The sequence below is a fragment of the Homo sapiens genome, chromosome 14 (assembly GCF_000001405.40).
Source record: "Homo sapiens chromosome 14, GRCh38.p14 Primary Assembly".
NCBI lineage: Eukaryota > Metazoa > Chordata > Mammalia > Primates > Hominidae > Homo > Homo sapiens.
In genome coordinates, this window is record NC_000014.9 from 71,671,966 (window position 1) to 71,687,365 (window position 15,400).

General features: G+C 42.4%; 1 protein-coding gene across 58 annotated transcripts in view; it reads left to right on the top strand.

Moving 5' to 3' along the window:
* The window catches only part of SIPA1L1 (signal induced proliferation associated 1 like 1), a 420,734-nt gene that overhangs the window by 351,490 nt on the left and 53,844 nt on the right, over positions 1–15,400 (top strand). For all 58 annotated transcript variants that reach the window (XM_047431217.1, XM_047431229.1, XM_047431218.1 and 55 more), the window contains 2 exons: positions 383–657; positions 13,397–13,666. In XM_047431217.1, the coding sequence (XP_047287173.1) occupies positions 383–657; positions 13,397–13,666 (545 nt within the window). The remainder of the gene's footprint in view (positions 1–382; positions 658–13,396; positions 13,667–15,400) is intronic.

Below are 15,400 nucleotides of genomic sequence, written 5' to 3' on the forward strand. Positions count from 1 at the left end.
GCATGTGACCTGTTCCCTGGTGCTGCAGTCCAGTCATCTGGTGGTGGTGTTGAAAAGAATTGCTTGAGTATCTGCTGCCTTGAATTTTACAAAGGCTAAATGAGTAGCAGTATATGGTTTCTATTTACTGCCAGCTCCCTGTAGGTCTCTGGTAGAGGTTTCCTTGTAACTTCAGGGAAGCCGTTGAGCTTTTTGGATGCAACAAGTATATTCCTTTTGGCCTAATGAATAGGAGATTAGTGAAGAGGAAATAACCAGACTGCTCTTCAGCTGGCAATAAGGTATTCAGAACTAACCCTGCTTGCAATGATTTTCCAGTTCCATGTCCACCACTTAATACCCTATTGCTTTAAACCACAGTATCTTTTATTTCCTTGTCTAGTTTGTTTCAAAAGGCTGTGAATCGGTGGAGATGACTCTGCGAAGAAATGGGCTAGGACAGCTTGGCTTCCATGTCAACTATGAGGGCATTGTGGCGGATGTGGAGCCCTACGGTTATGCCTGGCAGGCAGGGCTGAGGCAGGGCAGTCGCCTGGTGGAGATCTGCAAGGTGGCGGTAGCCACTCTGAGCCATGAGCAGATGATCGACCTCCTGAGAACATCTGTCACGGTGAAGGTTGTCATCATTCCCCCGCATGATGACTGCACCCCGCGGAGGTAGGTCTGAGGAGACAGCTGTGGGCCTGAGACTCGAGTGCAGGGTTTGTGTACCATGTAGAACATCTCTTAGCAGGTAGTGGAGTAGGGTGTTGTGAAGAACAATAGGTTACATGTGATGCTGAATGTTTCATCCATGGAGTCTGACTCAGGACGAAGCTCCCTTTCAGTGTGTGGTGACAGCAGCTGGAAAGAGTGACTAAATGGGACCATTCCCAGGATTTACATCACTGGATTTATAAAGTTGCCATGACAGATAGAGAAGTCTGGTAATATCTATCTTAAGAATTTTCCACTGGGAGCTGAGAAACATTGAACACATTGAACATTAAAAGACACTCAACATCTCAAATTGTCAGATTGCTTTTCTTCTATGTTCCATGATGCTCTTATTCTCTTCTCTCTCCTAATTGCTGCCCAAAACTCAGCAATTGTTTGGACCTTTGCTGTCTCAGTCTGGCAGCTGCTTTCCTAACTGTATCTGCATGTGCTAGGGTTTGGCTTCAGGTGAGCTGCCCCTGCTCATGGTGCTTTGGCATTTTGGTTCCTAGTCTTTTCCAGAAGGGAAAACCTAAGAGCTCCCTGCCCCACCCAACCCCCCACAGCTCCTGCCAAGCCAGCAGCACTGTTGAAAATTTAATTTCTCTGTCTCTGGGGAGGTTTATTGGTGGAAGAAATTTAATCAACTGTTTATTTTCTCCTTTGGACATGCACATGCTATTTTTGCTAGTTTTTAAGATCTCTCTTTTTAGTTTATGCCATTATTTTCTAAGAATTTCTCTTAAGCTTTGGCAATTGATTCTTAGGCTTTCTAAAGCCAAGACAGTGTTCTGTGTCCTATTTTGCCACTAAGATGACCAGTCCTACACCTGAGCTCTCATGGATTTGTGAATATCAGATGGTAGAAAGTTAATGGTTATGATAGGCTATTTGTGTCTTTTAAAAAGTAAAGAGCAGCAAATATATATGTGTGTGTGTGTGCGTGTGTGTGTTTTATATACTTTGCTCAGGATAGTATTTCCTAATACTGCTTACCTCCTAGATGGCCTAGGGATTATGTATATATGTCAAAATATAGAAAAATTCCTTTGTCTGATAGTTTGAAGAACTTCCTTTTGGATGACTGCATTTCCCTGGAAATCAAAATATGAACTTTTAATTTCACCTGTTTTGGAGAGGAGTAAATATTCAGAAACTGCCCTACCCACATACCCTGCCTTAGTTAACCAGGTCTAATGAACCTTATTAGCCTTTTCTGGTTTCCCCAAGCATATCATCATTAAATGTTAAGTAATGTGCTGAACTGTGATTTAAAAAATAATGTGAGGTGGCTCAGAAAGGCAGTGGGGTTCTTGCTTATGACAGTCTCCAGTCTTGCTGCATTCCTTGTCTTGTCTCTTTCTCTGCTGTCTCTCCTTCAAATTGTCTACTTTATTGCTTCTGAACAGACAATTATAAATGGGAGAAGATAGCCAAGCTTTGTAAATTGTCAACCTTAATTACCTACAGTAAAGAGTTACAGATGTTAGTCTAAGGACCGTCTACTGAAATATGGAGCCCTTGACCTTATGATGCCATCTTGCCCACTCAGAAGTCTTTCCCTTGTATCTAGGCTCCCAGGTTTATATGCGGGAAAGGAGAGGGAAATGGGTTTGTGTGACTGTGGGTGGGATGAGACAACAGTACAGACATCGAAATTGGAAATAGCTGTTACTAGAAAGATGGATAAGAGGCCTGATCCTGGATAGATGGAGCCATGATAGGAGGAATACTAGACTAGATATATTGTGGTGTGTCAGTGAAAATAACTAATATACTGAGTTTTTTACCTTAATATGCCAGGCCCTGAAAAAAGCACTTTTTTATGGGTTAGTGCATTTAATTCTCATAACAACCCTCTCTTGTGATAGTGTTAGTAGCATTCCTGTTTTTTTTTTGTTTTTTTTTGTTTTTTTTTTTTTAGACGGAGTCTCGCTCTGTCGCCCAGGCTGGAGTGCAGTGGCGGGGTCTCGGCTCACTGCAAGCTCCGCCTCCCGGGTTCACGCCATTCTCCTGCCTCAGCCTCCCAAGTAGCTGGGACTACAGGCGCCCGCCACTACGCCCGGCTAATTTTTTGTATTTTTAGTAGAGACGGGGTTTCACCGTTTTAGCCGGGATGGTCTCGATCTCCTGACCTCGTGATCCGCCCGCCTCGGCCTCCCAAAGTGCTGGGATTACAGGCGTGAGCCACCGCGCCCGGCCGCATTCCTGTTTTAAAAGAAACCGGGACTCAAAGGTTAGTAACTTGCTAAGCTCATCTGACAAATTTAGGTCTAACATCAGAGTCCAGGCTCTGAACTGCCACGTTGTGTGCTTAGAGCACAGATCCTTTCCTTATACACTAGAATCAGCAGTGATGTGCTGGTGAGTTGGCTTTCTGCTGGGGTGAAGAAAACTTTATTTGTAGTATTTGCTGATTTCTATGGTGCAGATACTCCCACTGTGGCTGGTTCCAAGCTACCGATGTGATGTCACTGCAGGCAGCATTGGGGTAGATGGGATGATTACCAGCTCCAGCACACCAGGGAGTGAATGAGCTGTCACACCGCTGTGACGCTCTCAGGCCTTCCCGGAGGAGCCAGTGGAGCTGCCAGTGACATGTCACTTGGGTGCCAGGAGGGGAGGCTGGGGGAAGGATTAGTGCACTGCACAGCCCCACCAGCCTGGAGGGAGACACAGGGCCCCTTTCACTACAGTTTCCATCTGAAAAGCCATACAGTTTCCATCTGAAAAGCCATACAGTTTCCATCTGAAAAGCCATACAGTTTCCATCTGAAAAGTCAGACCTGGGCAGGGCAGGTGGGAAATGCCTTGATGCCTTTGGAGGGCTGAAAGCCTGCTCCTTTCTCCTTTCTTTAGAGATAACTTCAAAGGGAACAGCTGAAGCATTAACACCTTGTTACAATTTTCAACAAAATAGAATAATGCTCTTGTGTCATTTTTTTCTTCTCCTCCGCACTTCACACTCCCACTGCTGTTTTTGTAGCAACTAATTACTCTGTTCTTTGAATAGTCATTCTCTTCTTTGTCAGCTGGGACTTCACCACCAGTCACTGCAGCTGCAGCGAGAGGCAGGACAGGCCTCCTTGAGGCAAGCTGCTCCTCTACCCCTCAGCCTGGTGGTTCTTAGGGTCGCCAGGACCCAGAGAGGGACACAAGCAAGGGGGTGCGGGAGGTGATGACTGTATGTAATACAAACACCCCCAGGATCTAATACAAACACAAATGGATTTGTGTGTTCACATGGGAGAGTCATTCATTTTGAAAATGCAGCTTTTAAAATATATATAATAGTTCAACAACAAAAAAGTAGTACTTAAATAACATGTAAAAGCCTGTAATCCCAACAGTTTGGGAGGCCGAGGCTGGTGAATCATTTGAGGTCAGGAGTTTGAGACCAGCCTGAGCAACATGGTGAGGCTGGTCTCAAACTCCTGACCTCAAATGATTCACCAGCCTTCTCTACTAAAAATACAAAAAAAATTAGGGGGGCGTGCTGGCACATGCCTGTAGTCTCAGCTACTTGGGGGCTGAGGTAGGAGAATCACTTGACCCAGGAGGCAGAGGTTGCAATGAGCTGAGATCGTGCCATTGCACTCCAGCCTGGGCGACGGAGGTAGACTCCATCTCAAAAAAATAAGAATAAATAAATAAAATAACATGTAAAACAAGGCTCTCTTCCCTGTTCTTGGAAAATATGCAGACCCCTTATGAATCGTTTCCAAACTACAATTTTTTTAAGAGAAGAAAGGACAGGGACAGTATAGCAAACTTTCTGAGCCCCTACTAGGTGCCAGGCATTTTCCTTTTTTTTTTTTTTTTAAGTATATATACTTTAAGTTCTAGGATACATGTGTGCAACGTGCAGGTTTGTTACATATGTATACATGTGCCATGTTGGTGTGCTGCACCCATTAACTCATCATTTACATTAGGTATATCTCCTAATGCTATCCCTCCCCCCTCCCCCCACCCCATGACAGGCCCCAGTGTGTGCTGTTCCCCTTCCTGTGTCCAAGTGTTCTCATTATTCAGTTCCCACCTATGAGTAAGAACATGTGGTGTTTGGTTTTTTTGTCCTTGTGATAGTTTGCTGAGAATGATGGTTTCCAGCATCTTCTATGTCCCTACAAAGGACATTAATTCATCCTTTTTTACGGCTGCATAGTATTCCATGGTGTACATGTGCCACATTTTCTTAATCCAGTCTATCATTGGTGGACATTTGGGTTGGTTCCAAGTCTTGCTATTGTGAATAGTGCCGCAATAAACATATGTGTGCATGTGTCTTTATAGCAGCATGATTTATAATCCTTTGGGTGTATACCCAGTAATGGGATGTCTGGGAAATGGTATTTCTAGTTCTAGATCCTTGAGGAACCACCACACTGACTTCCACAATGGTTGAACTAGTTTACACTCCCACCAACAGTGTAAAAGTGTTCCTATTTCTCCACATCCTCTCCAGCAGCTGTTGTTTCCTCATTTTTTAATGATCGCCATTCTAACTGGTGTGAGATGGTATTTCATTGTGGTTTTGATTTGCATTTCTCTGATGGCCAGTGATGATGAGCATTTTTTCATGTGTCTGTTGGCTGCATAAATGTCTTCTTTTGCGAAGTGTCTGTTCATATCCTTTGCCAAATTTTGATGGGGTTGTTTGATTTTTTCTTGTAAATTTGTTTAAGTTCTTTGTAGATTCTGGATGTTAGCCCTTTGTCAGATGGGTAGATTGTAAAAATGTTCTCCCATTCTGTAGGTTGCCTGTTCACTCTGATAGTAGTTTATTTTGGTGTGCAGAAGCTCTTTAGTTTAATTAGATCCCATTTGTCTATTTTGGCTTTTGTTGCCATTACTTTTGGTGTTTTAGTCATGAAGTCCTTGCCCTTGCGTATGTCCTGAATGGTATTGCCTAGGTTTTCTTCTAGGGTTTTTATGGTTTTGGGTCTAACATTTAGGTCTTTAATCCATCTTGAATTAATTTTTGTATAAGGTGTAAGGAAGGGATCCAGTTTCAGCTTCCTACATATGGCTAGCCAGTTTTCCCAGCATCATTTATTAAATAGGGAATCCTGTGCCCATTTCTAGTTTTTGTCAAGTTTGTCAAAGATCAGATGGTTGTAGATGTGTGGTATTATTTCTGAGGGCTCTGTTCTGTTCTGTTGGTCTATACCTCTATTTTGGTACCAGTACCATGCTGTTTTGGTTACTGTAGCCTTGTAGTATAGTTTGAAGTCAAATAGCGTGATGCCTCCAGCTTTGTTCTTTTTGCATAGGATTGTCTTGGCAATGTGGGCTCTTTTTTTGGTTCCATATGAACTTGTATTTTGTATCCTGAGACTTTGCTGAAGTTGCTTATCAGCTTAAGGAGATTTGGGGCTGAGACGATGGGGTTTTCTAAATATACAATCATGTCATCTGCAAACAGGGACAATTTGACTTCCTCTTTTCCTAATTGAATACCCTTTATTTCTTTCTCCTGCCTGATTGCCCCGGCCAGAACTTCCAACGCTATGTTGAATAAGAGTGGTGAGAGAGGGCATCCCTGTCTTGTGCCAGTTTTCAAAGGGAATGCTTCCAGTTTTTGCCCATTCAGTATGATAATGGCTATGGGTTTGTCATAAATAGCTCTTATTATTTTGAGATAAGTCCCATCAATACATAATTTATTGAGAGTTTTTAGCATGAAGGGCTGTTGAATTTTGTCAGAGGCCTTTTCTGCATCTATTGAGATAATCATGTGGTTTTTGTCTTTCATTCTGTTTATATGCTGGATTACATTTATTGATTTGCATATGTTGAACCAGCCTTGCATCCCAGGGATGAAGCCCACTTGATCATGGTGGATAAGCTTTTTGATGTGCTGCTGGATTCGGTTTGCCAGTATTTTATTGAGGATTTTTGCACTGATGTTCATCAGGGATATTGGTCTAAAATTCTTCTTTTTTGTTGTGTCTCTGCCCGGCTTTGGTATCAGGATGATGCTGGCCTCATAAAATGAGTTAGGGAGGATTCCCTCTTTTTCTATTGATTGGAAGTTTCAGAAGGAATGGTACCAGCTCCTCCTTGTACCTCTGGTAGAATTCGGCTGTGAATCCGTCTGGTCCTGGACTTTTCTTGGTGGTAGGCTATTAATTATTGCCTCAATTTCAGAGCCTGTTATTGGTCTATTCAGGGATTCAACTTCTTCCTGGTTTAGTCTTGGGAGAAGAGAAGTTTAGAGAAAAAAGAGTAAAAAAAAATGAACAAAGCCTCCAAGAAATATGGGACTATGTGAAAAGACCAAATCTACGTCTGATTGGTGTACCTGAAAGTGACGGGGAGAATGGAACCAAGTTGGAAAACACTCTTCAGGATATTATCCTGGAGAACTTCCCCAACCTAGCAAGGCAGGCCAACATTCATATTCAGGAAATACAGAGAACGCCACAAAGATACTCCTCGAGAAGAGCAACTCCAAGACACATAATTGTCAGATTCACCAAAGTTGAAATGAAGGAAAAAGTGTTAAGGGCAGCCAGATAGAAAGGTCAGGTTACCCACAAAGGGAAGCCCATCAGACTAACAGTGGCTCTCTGCAGAAACTCTACAAGCCAGTAGAAAGTGGGGGCCAATATTCAACATTCTTAAAGAAAAGAATTTTCAACCCAGAATTTCATATCCAGCCAAACTAAGCTTCATAAGTGAAGGAGAAATAAAATCCTTTACAGACAAGCAAATGCTGAGAGATTTTGTCACCACCAGGCCTGCCCTACAAGAGCTCCTGAAGGAAGCACTAAACATGGAAAGGAATAATTGGTACCAGCCACTGCAAAAACATGCCAAATTGTACAGACCATTGATGCTAGGAAGAAATTGCATGAACTAACAAGCAAAATAACCAGCTAACATCATAATGACAGGATCAGATTTACACATAACAATATTAACCTTAAATGTAAATGGGCTAAATGCTCCAATTAAAAGACACAGACTGGCAAATTTGATAGAGTCAAGACCCATCAGTGTGCTATATTCAGGAGACCCATCTCATGTGCAGAGACACACATAGGCTCAAAATAAAAGGATGGAGGAAGATCTACCAAGCAAATGGAAAACAAAAAAAGGCAGGGGTTGCAATCCTAGTCTCTGATAAAACAGACTTTAAACCAACAAAGATCAAAAGAGACAAAGAAGGCCATTACATAATGGTAAAGGGATCAATTTAACAAGAAGAGCTAACTATCTTAAATATATATGCACCCAATACAGGAGCACCCAGATTCATAAAGCAAGTCCTTAGAGACCTACAAAGAGACTTAGACTCCCACACAATAATAATGGGAGACTTTATCACCCGACTGTCAACATTAGACAGATCGAGACAGAAAGTTAACAAGGATATCCAGGAATTGAACTCTGCACCAAGTGGGACCTAATAGACATCTACAGAACTCTTCACCCAAAATCAACAGAATATACATTCTTCTCAGCACCACCTTGCACTTATTCCAAAATTGACCACATAGTTGGAAGTAAAGCACTCCTCAGCAAATGTAAAACAACAGAAATTGTGACAAACTGTCTCTCAGACCACAGTGCAATCAAACTAGAACTCAGGATTAAGAAACTCACTCAAAACAGCTCAACTACATGGAAACTGAACATCCTGCTCCTGAATGACTACTGGGTTTATAACGAAATGAAGGCAGAAATTAAAATGTTCTTTGAAACCAATGAGAACAAAGACACAACATACCAGAATCTCTGGGACACATTTAAAGCGGTGTGTAGAGGGAAACTTATAGCACTAAATAAATGCCCACAAGAGAAAGCAGGAAAGATCTAAAATTGACACCCTAACATCACAATCAGAAGAACTAGAGAAGCAAGAGCAAACACATTCAAAAGCTAGCAGAAGGCAAGAAATAACTAAGATCAGAGAAGATCTGAAGGAGATAGAGACACAAAAAACCCTTCAAAAAATCAATGAATCCAAGAGCTGGTTTTTTGAAAAGATCAACAAAATGGATAGATCACTAGCAAGACTAATAAAGAAGAAAAGGGAAGAATCAAATAGATGCAGTAAAAAATGATAAAGGGGATATCACCACCGATCCCACAGAAACACAAACTATCATCAGAATACTATAAACACCTCTACGCAAATAAACTAGAAAATCTAGAGGGCCTCGGGTCTTTATAGCCACAGGATGGGGGCGTCATGGGCCAGGGTTGTCTTTGGAAATGCAGCATCTGGACACAAAGGCAGGAGTGCCTGTCCTCATCTTGATCCGTGGGGGTGGAGCCCTAGCCAGGGACCACTCCCTCCTCTACCCAGCTCTTCCCTTCCCTGCTTCATATCATTTAAAGGGAACATGCTATTCCCTTCCCAGCACTTCCGTATCAGCAGCTTCATTTTTATTAAAACAGCGATGAGAATGAGGCTGGGAGAAGTTCAGTTGCTGCCCAAAGAGTGAACGGAACCAGCTAGCATGACAGCCTGATGGACACAGTCCTGGTAGACTTCACTGGAAAACCTCCCTGGAGTGAGCAGGCCCCTTATGCAGGAATTGCCTGATTCTCACCCCCCTGCTGTCACCCCTCTGCAGTAGGTAGCCAGCATCAATAGATTAGTGACCTCTGTGACCTCTGGGTCTTCACCGTCATTCCCGTGACAAGATGAAAAGTACCTGGATGAACAGACTAAATTGTGATGTTCTGGATGGTATTGCATAGAGTGGTCAACCCTTTATTCTGTTGAGGGCCACTAGCCTATAGTTCTTAAAGAAAGCAATTAAGGGCCATTCAAAATGACAAGCTAAAAACAAACAGGTTACATAAGACCAAATTACCTCTTAAATAAGAATAGGTCACAGCATTTTTTCTTCATTTTAAAAATCCAGTATTTTAAAGTGCTAAAGCATACTGCTTTAGAGTGAAGAGGGCAATTAGAAATCATGTGGTTCAGATCTCTCATTTTTCAGAGGAGGAGTTTTGATTCAAATAATTTATGTGTTTTTTTCCAAGCCAGAGTCACATGGCTTATAGGGACCAAGCCATCCTCAAACATAAAACTTTTCTGACTCGTGAGTCCAGTGTTGTGATGTTCTGTTCAATTTCCTAGTCAACCATTTCTCTATATTCCACAGGGTCTTAAGGAAAAAGGAGAGAGTTATGAGAAATAAAAGATAAAAGAGAAAGAATACAAAGACTGAAAAACAGAGTAAGGAGATGGAGTAGCTTTTCCATTAATTTAGGGTTTCAGCATGTCACCTCTTATCACGTTTAGCATTGACATTGTAATTCCTGCTGGCCATAGCCCTTTAATTGGGTTTTATAAAAGTTGTTGAATTTTCCTTGGAGAATTGGAATGGTTTCGTTAATGGCTAAAATAAGACTAACTTACACAGTCTTACCTACATAGTATGTATTAATTCTGTGGGTTTAAATCCTGGCTTTGCCACCTGCTGGCTGTGTAAACTTGGGCAGGTTAATCTCTCTAGGCCTCTATTTCCTCCTCTACAAAGTGGGGATAATGATAGCATCCACTTCATAGAGTTGCTGTAAAGTGGCTAAATTCGTGCCTGGCCCATTGTAAGTTATAGGTATTATTAGAGTTACCGTTCATCAACACAGAATTTTACTTAGAATGATATAATAAAAATCCTTTTATGAAAGTTTATGCATAGCATTAAAAGCCAGTTTTTAATCTGTATTCTTCAGTCTGTTGTATACTTCTTGATTCTACATAACGTTCTTCTGTTTTGCAGAGTTAAGTAAGAGACCAGGAAGCCAGTGATGGTTACCCTGGCCACAAAAGGCAATCAGAAATGGCGAGTAGCTGAAGTTTAGCTCTGCAGAACCTTCTGTGCTTATTCATTGTTTATGAATGAATCTTCTCTCTGCTCAGACTTTATCATACTATATTTGGCCAATGTGGGATATGAAGAAAGTTTCTAGTTATATGTTATGAGTGGTGGAAATAAAATGTAGACTGTGGGGAAGACAGCGTCTTTGGCCAGAGAGGCCTTCTAGCCAGTTTTCATACTAAATGTTAAGCAGTTTAAAAGACTATTCCAAAGAGTGTTTGAAGAAACCCAAAGATAAAGTAACTTGTCTGTTTGATATTATGTTATTGCTGTTATTGTGTCTGTTACCATTATCATTATTTATTTTATTATCTGCCTGATGCAAAATGGACTTAAAACAGCCTATGAAAGTACTTGTGAGCTGGGCACAGTGGCTCATGCCTGGAATCCCAGTACTTTGGGAGACCGAGGCAGGTACATCACTTGAGCTCAGGAGTTTGAGACCAACCTGTGCAACATGGTGAAACCCTGTCTCGACAAACAATACAAAAATTAGCTGAGCGTGGCAGTGCACACCTGTAGTCCCAGCTACTCAGGAGGCTGAGATGGGAGAATCACTTGAGCCCAGGAGGTTGAGGCTGTGGTGAACCTTGATCACGTCACAGCACTCCAGCCTAGGCGACACAGCAAGACCTTCTCTCAAAAAGAAAGAGAAAGTAGTTGTACAGTATTAAAATAGAAGCTTAGCTAGGGAATTGGAGGTGGAAGAGGTAGTAGTGAAAGCAAAACATGGCCTAGGTGAAAATTTTTGGAAAGTTGGTGCCCAAAATACATAATAATAAAGTTCTGTACATGTGCTGGTTCCTAGCAGCCGACAGAAAGGGGCATAGATGGTGATGTTCTTTGAGTTTACAAGTTAGAACAAGAGCATTGCTGAGGAGAAGCAAAGATAGTCCAGATTTTGAGCATAAGTGAAATTTTTCCATGCATTATTATAAATTTTAGTCAATATTCCTTTGGTAAAATGTAATATTTTTGCATTGTATTTACTGATCCAGAACATTAGATCTTTATAATATGCCTTATTTAGTCAGAAACGAAAGGCTGTAGTCACAAATGAAAGACTCTAAACTATACCACAGTGTATTACCTCTATGAACAACCAAAAAAGGGTTGCAGTGGCATATTTTTGTCATAAATATCAGAATCAAAGCTTGAAATTATATCAGAGCCTAAAGTAGTATTCGTTAATATTAGAGAAAAGGTTCTATTAGAGAAAAGGTTTTAATGACATAGCAGTCATTAACTACTAAAAGTAATGTCAAATGTGCCATAAAACAATGTTTTACAGACTGCAGACCATAACTCTCAAGTAGATCATCAAATCAATTTAGGACATTGTGCCCAGTGTATTTTTGGATGAAGTGTATTCAGAATACAGCAAAATGGAAGACATGAGAGGAAGGATGCACATCTGTGTGTATATATGGTGGTGCTGTGTCCCAGTGTGAAATGTATGTCTTAGGTTGTCATCCAGAAAGTGTGAAAGCCATTGCTATTAAAGCATAAAAGGGATAGAGTGGAGCCTTGGGCGGAGGGTCAGATTAAGGTCACCCTTGGCTTTTGGGACATTTGGGGGACTGGTAAGGAAACCCCAAGAAGAAAGTACTCCTTGGAGACGTGGGCTATGACTGAGTCAAGTAAGGATGGCAGCAGACGCCATTGCTCCTTCTGAGCACATGCTCCAAAAGTGGCACTTTCCAACAACAAAAACTCTACTGAAGGTGGGGGAGAAGATGCATTATGGAATACACATTTGAAATGTAAGGAGTCAACACTGAGATATGTAGACAAGGTCATGAAAGAGTGGCACCTTCCATTGTCCTTATTCTCCTGCCAGCCAACTATGTAAACCCTTCCACTTTGCCCCCCATCTCCATGTCTCACCTTCCCTCCCCGCGCCTTCAGCCTCATCCACGTCAAGACCAGGCCTTTGGCCGGACGCCCTTTGGGCCTGCACTGTCCAGGACAGGAGGCATGTGGCTACACAGCACTTGTGATGTCGCTGGTCCAAAGTGAAATGGTCTGTAAGCTGCTCGTACACCCTTTCGGAGCCCAGTCGCAATGTGCGGTGGCGGGAATGTGAAGCTGCGCATACACCCTTTCAGAGCCTGGTCATGGTGTGCAGTGGTGGGGGTGTGAAGCTGCTCGTACACCGTTTCAGAGCCCAGTCACGATGTGCAGTGGCAAGTGTGTGAAGCTGCTTATACACTCTTTTGGAGCCCAGTCAAGATGTGCAGTGGCAGGTGTGTGAAACTGCTTATACACCCTTTCAGAGCTCAGTCACTGTATGCATTGGCGGGTGTGTGAAGCTGCTTGTATACCCTTTTGGAGCCCCAGTCATGGTGTACAATGGCAGGTGTGTGAAGCTGCTCGTTCACCCTTTTGGAGCCCAGTCACGATGTGCAGTGGCGGGTTGTGAAGCTGCTCATACACCCTTTCAGAACCCAGTTGTGGTGTGCAGTGGTGGGTGTGTGAAGCCGCTTGCTTCCATTGAGACTTCATGCTCTCAGGTATGCCCCCGTCATGCTGTCCTGGTGGCCTTTCCTCCTCAGGTCTCAGTAGTCTGGCCACCCCCAGGGTGTCCGTGGGTCCCATTGTTTTTTAAAGACTCCATATCTCGCACTCAAAAAGTTGGGATTGAGTAAAGGAAAATACTATTATAATACTTCCTTGGGTTCTGGTTTTTGAAAAGAAAATAAGTACTAGGGCCCAAAGATTGAAAGGTGGTTTGAAACAGAGGGTGAAATTGTGGATCCATTTTTAAGTGTTAATGAGAATCAATGTGGTTCCACCAGCAAGAAAAAGCAGTATCCATTGTGTTTCTCCCTGTGCCTTGCCCCTAATAGGAGTTGCTCTGAAACCTACCGCATGCCAGTGATGGAGTACAAAATGAATGAAGGTGTTTCATACGAATTCAAGTTTCCCTTCCGAAATAATAACAAGTGGCAGAGGAACGCCAGCAAGGGGCCTCATTCACCTCAAGTCCCGTCCCAGGTGCAGAGTCCCATGACCTCGCGGCTGAATGCTGGAAAAGGAGATGGGAAGATGCCTCCTCCAGAAAGAGCCGCCAACATCCCTCGAAGCATCTCCAGTGACGGGCGCCCACTAGAGAGGCGGTAAGTGTGCCTTCAAAGGTTTGCTCTATCTCTCTCTGCCCCAAATGTAAGTAACACAGACCCATAAGCACTAGTTTTAGGCCTTCTCATATTTTACTAGAAACAAAGAATTAAACTGAGGTGCATACCGTAGTGACTTTCAAAGCATGGTAGTGTTCCAAAGCCATAAGGATCAACAGAGATTGATTCTAGCAAAGCCTTCAGCTCTGCACACTGGTATTTGTGCTTTGCTCTTTAATTTCCGTGTGATTATCAACAGACGTCGTTACTGCATGCTTAGTGGCCCTGTGGATTAGAATTTAGCAGACTCTTTGAGGTGACAGTGACTGTATATCATCCTTGACAGTCTTCATCATTTTGTTCCGAAATGATGATATAAGAGCAACAGAAGGCAGGTTTTTGGTTGAATAACTATGTTTGTGTCACTTTATTAATAAAGGATTATGCGGAAGGAAAACTAGTATAACACAAACATATTTTTCACTACTCTGAAAATAGGAAAGAATAGTGAAGAGAAGACGATACGTGGAGATACGTTAAAACACTTAGTCCTGAGTAAAGTAAGCCAGAGGGAGAGGGACTGAGGGGTCCTAGAAAGTAAGAAACCAAAGGTTGTTGTTAAATTGAAAGCCATAGAGAGTTCCCTCCCAAAAGGTAGTGGGTTAACTCTGCCTTTACAAGGTTGCCCTAGCACTTTTGTCTGGAGTTAAGAGTAAACTGCAGCACTTTGAACTAGAGTCCAGGCCTAAAATTAAACTAGATTAAGTGCTTTCAAAATGGGAATAGAAGTTGGCTATACAGATTTTAAGTAATTGCACTATAAATTTGGTTACCTCAAATCATGTACACTAAAGCAGTTTAATTGAATAATCTGCTAGTGGTCTGCTAGAAGTCATCAACTTCTTTTTTTTCTTTCTTTTTTCTTTTTTTTAGACAGAGTCTCACTCTGTCATCCAGGCTGGAGTGCAGTGGTGCTATCTCGGCTCACTGCAACCTCTGCCTCCCAGGTTCAAGCGAGTCTCCTGTCTCAGCCTCCCAAGTAGCTGGGATTACAGCGTGAGCCACCACGCCTGGCCTAGAAGTCAACTTCTTTCTGTCCATCCACTGTCCTTTCCCCATCTCTTCAGGATTGCCTTAATCACATCTCAGAATGTTGTTGTGAAAACCCTTAGACCTGGGGAGAAGTCTGTATTCTGGGAACTGTGTTGGGGAGAAGGGAGGGTCCATGTGGAAGCCAAAACATGAGCCTGACTCATCTGAGTGGCAAGAACCAGGTCTGGCAGGAGCAGGGTGCTGAGGAAAACGGTTCCCAGATACACGTAAATCATCACCGCTCCAGTTTGGAAGCAGAGAGCAGGAAGATTTAGAAACCACACTATGAAGTCTTTATCTTAGTCTGACTTTTGAACTGTTGCATAAAACATTGTCACTTAACTATTTTAGGTTACTAGGATACCATGTAGAAATAATTTAATAAAAACAGACAAACAATTTAATTAAAACAGACAAACCAAAAACATAGTCATCTTTCTACAACTTCTCATTTCATCCTGGAGATCTGTTTACAGAGCCTTGCTATTTATCTCAATAAAAGTTTCCTCTCCCATAGTGGCCCCATTACCATCTGGACTCCTCTCTTTCCTTATTTTGAGGAGGAAAACATCCAAGAGACCTCTGAGTAAATTCTTTTTTTGACACATTCCAGACTTGGCTGCCTCTGAGGTGTGTGCTAAC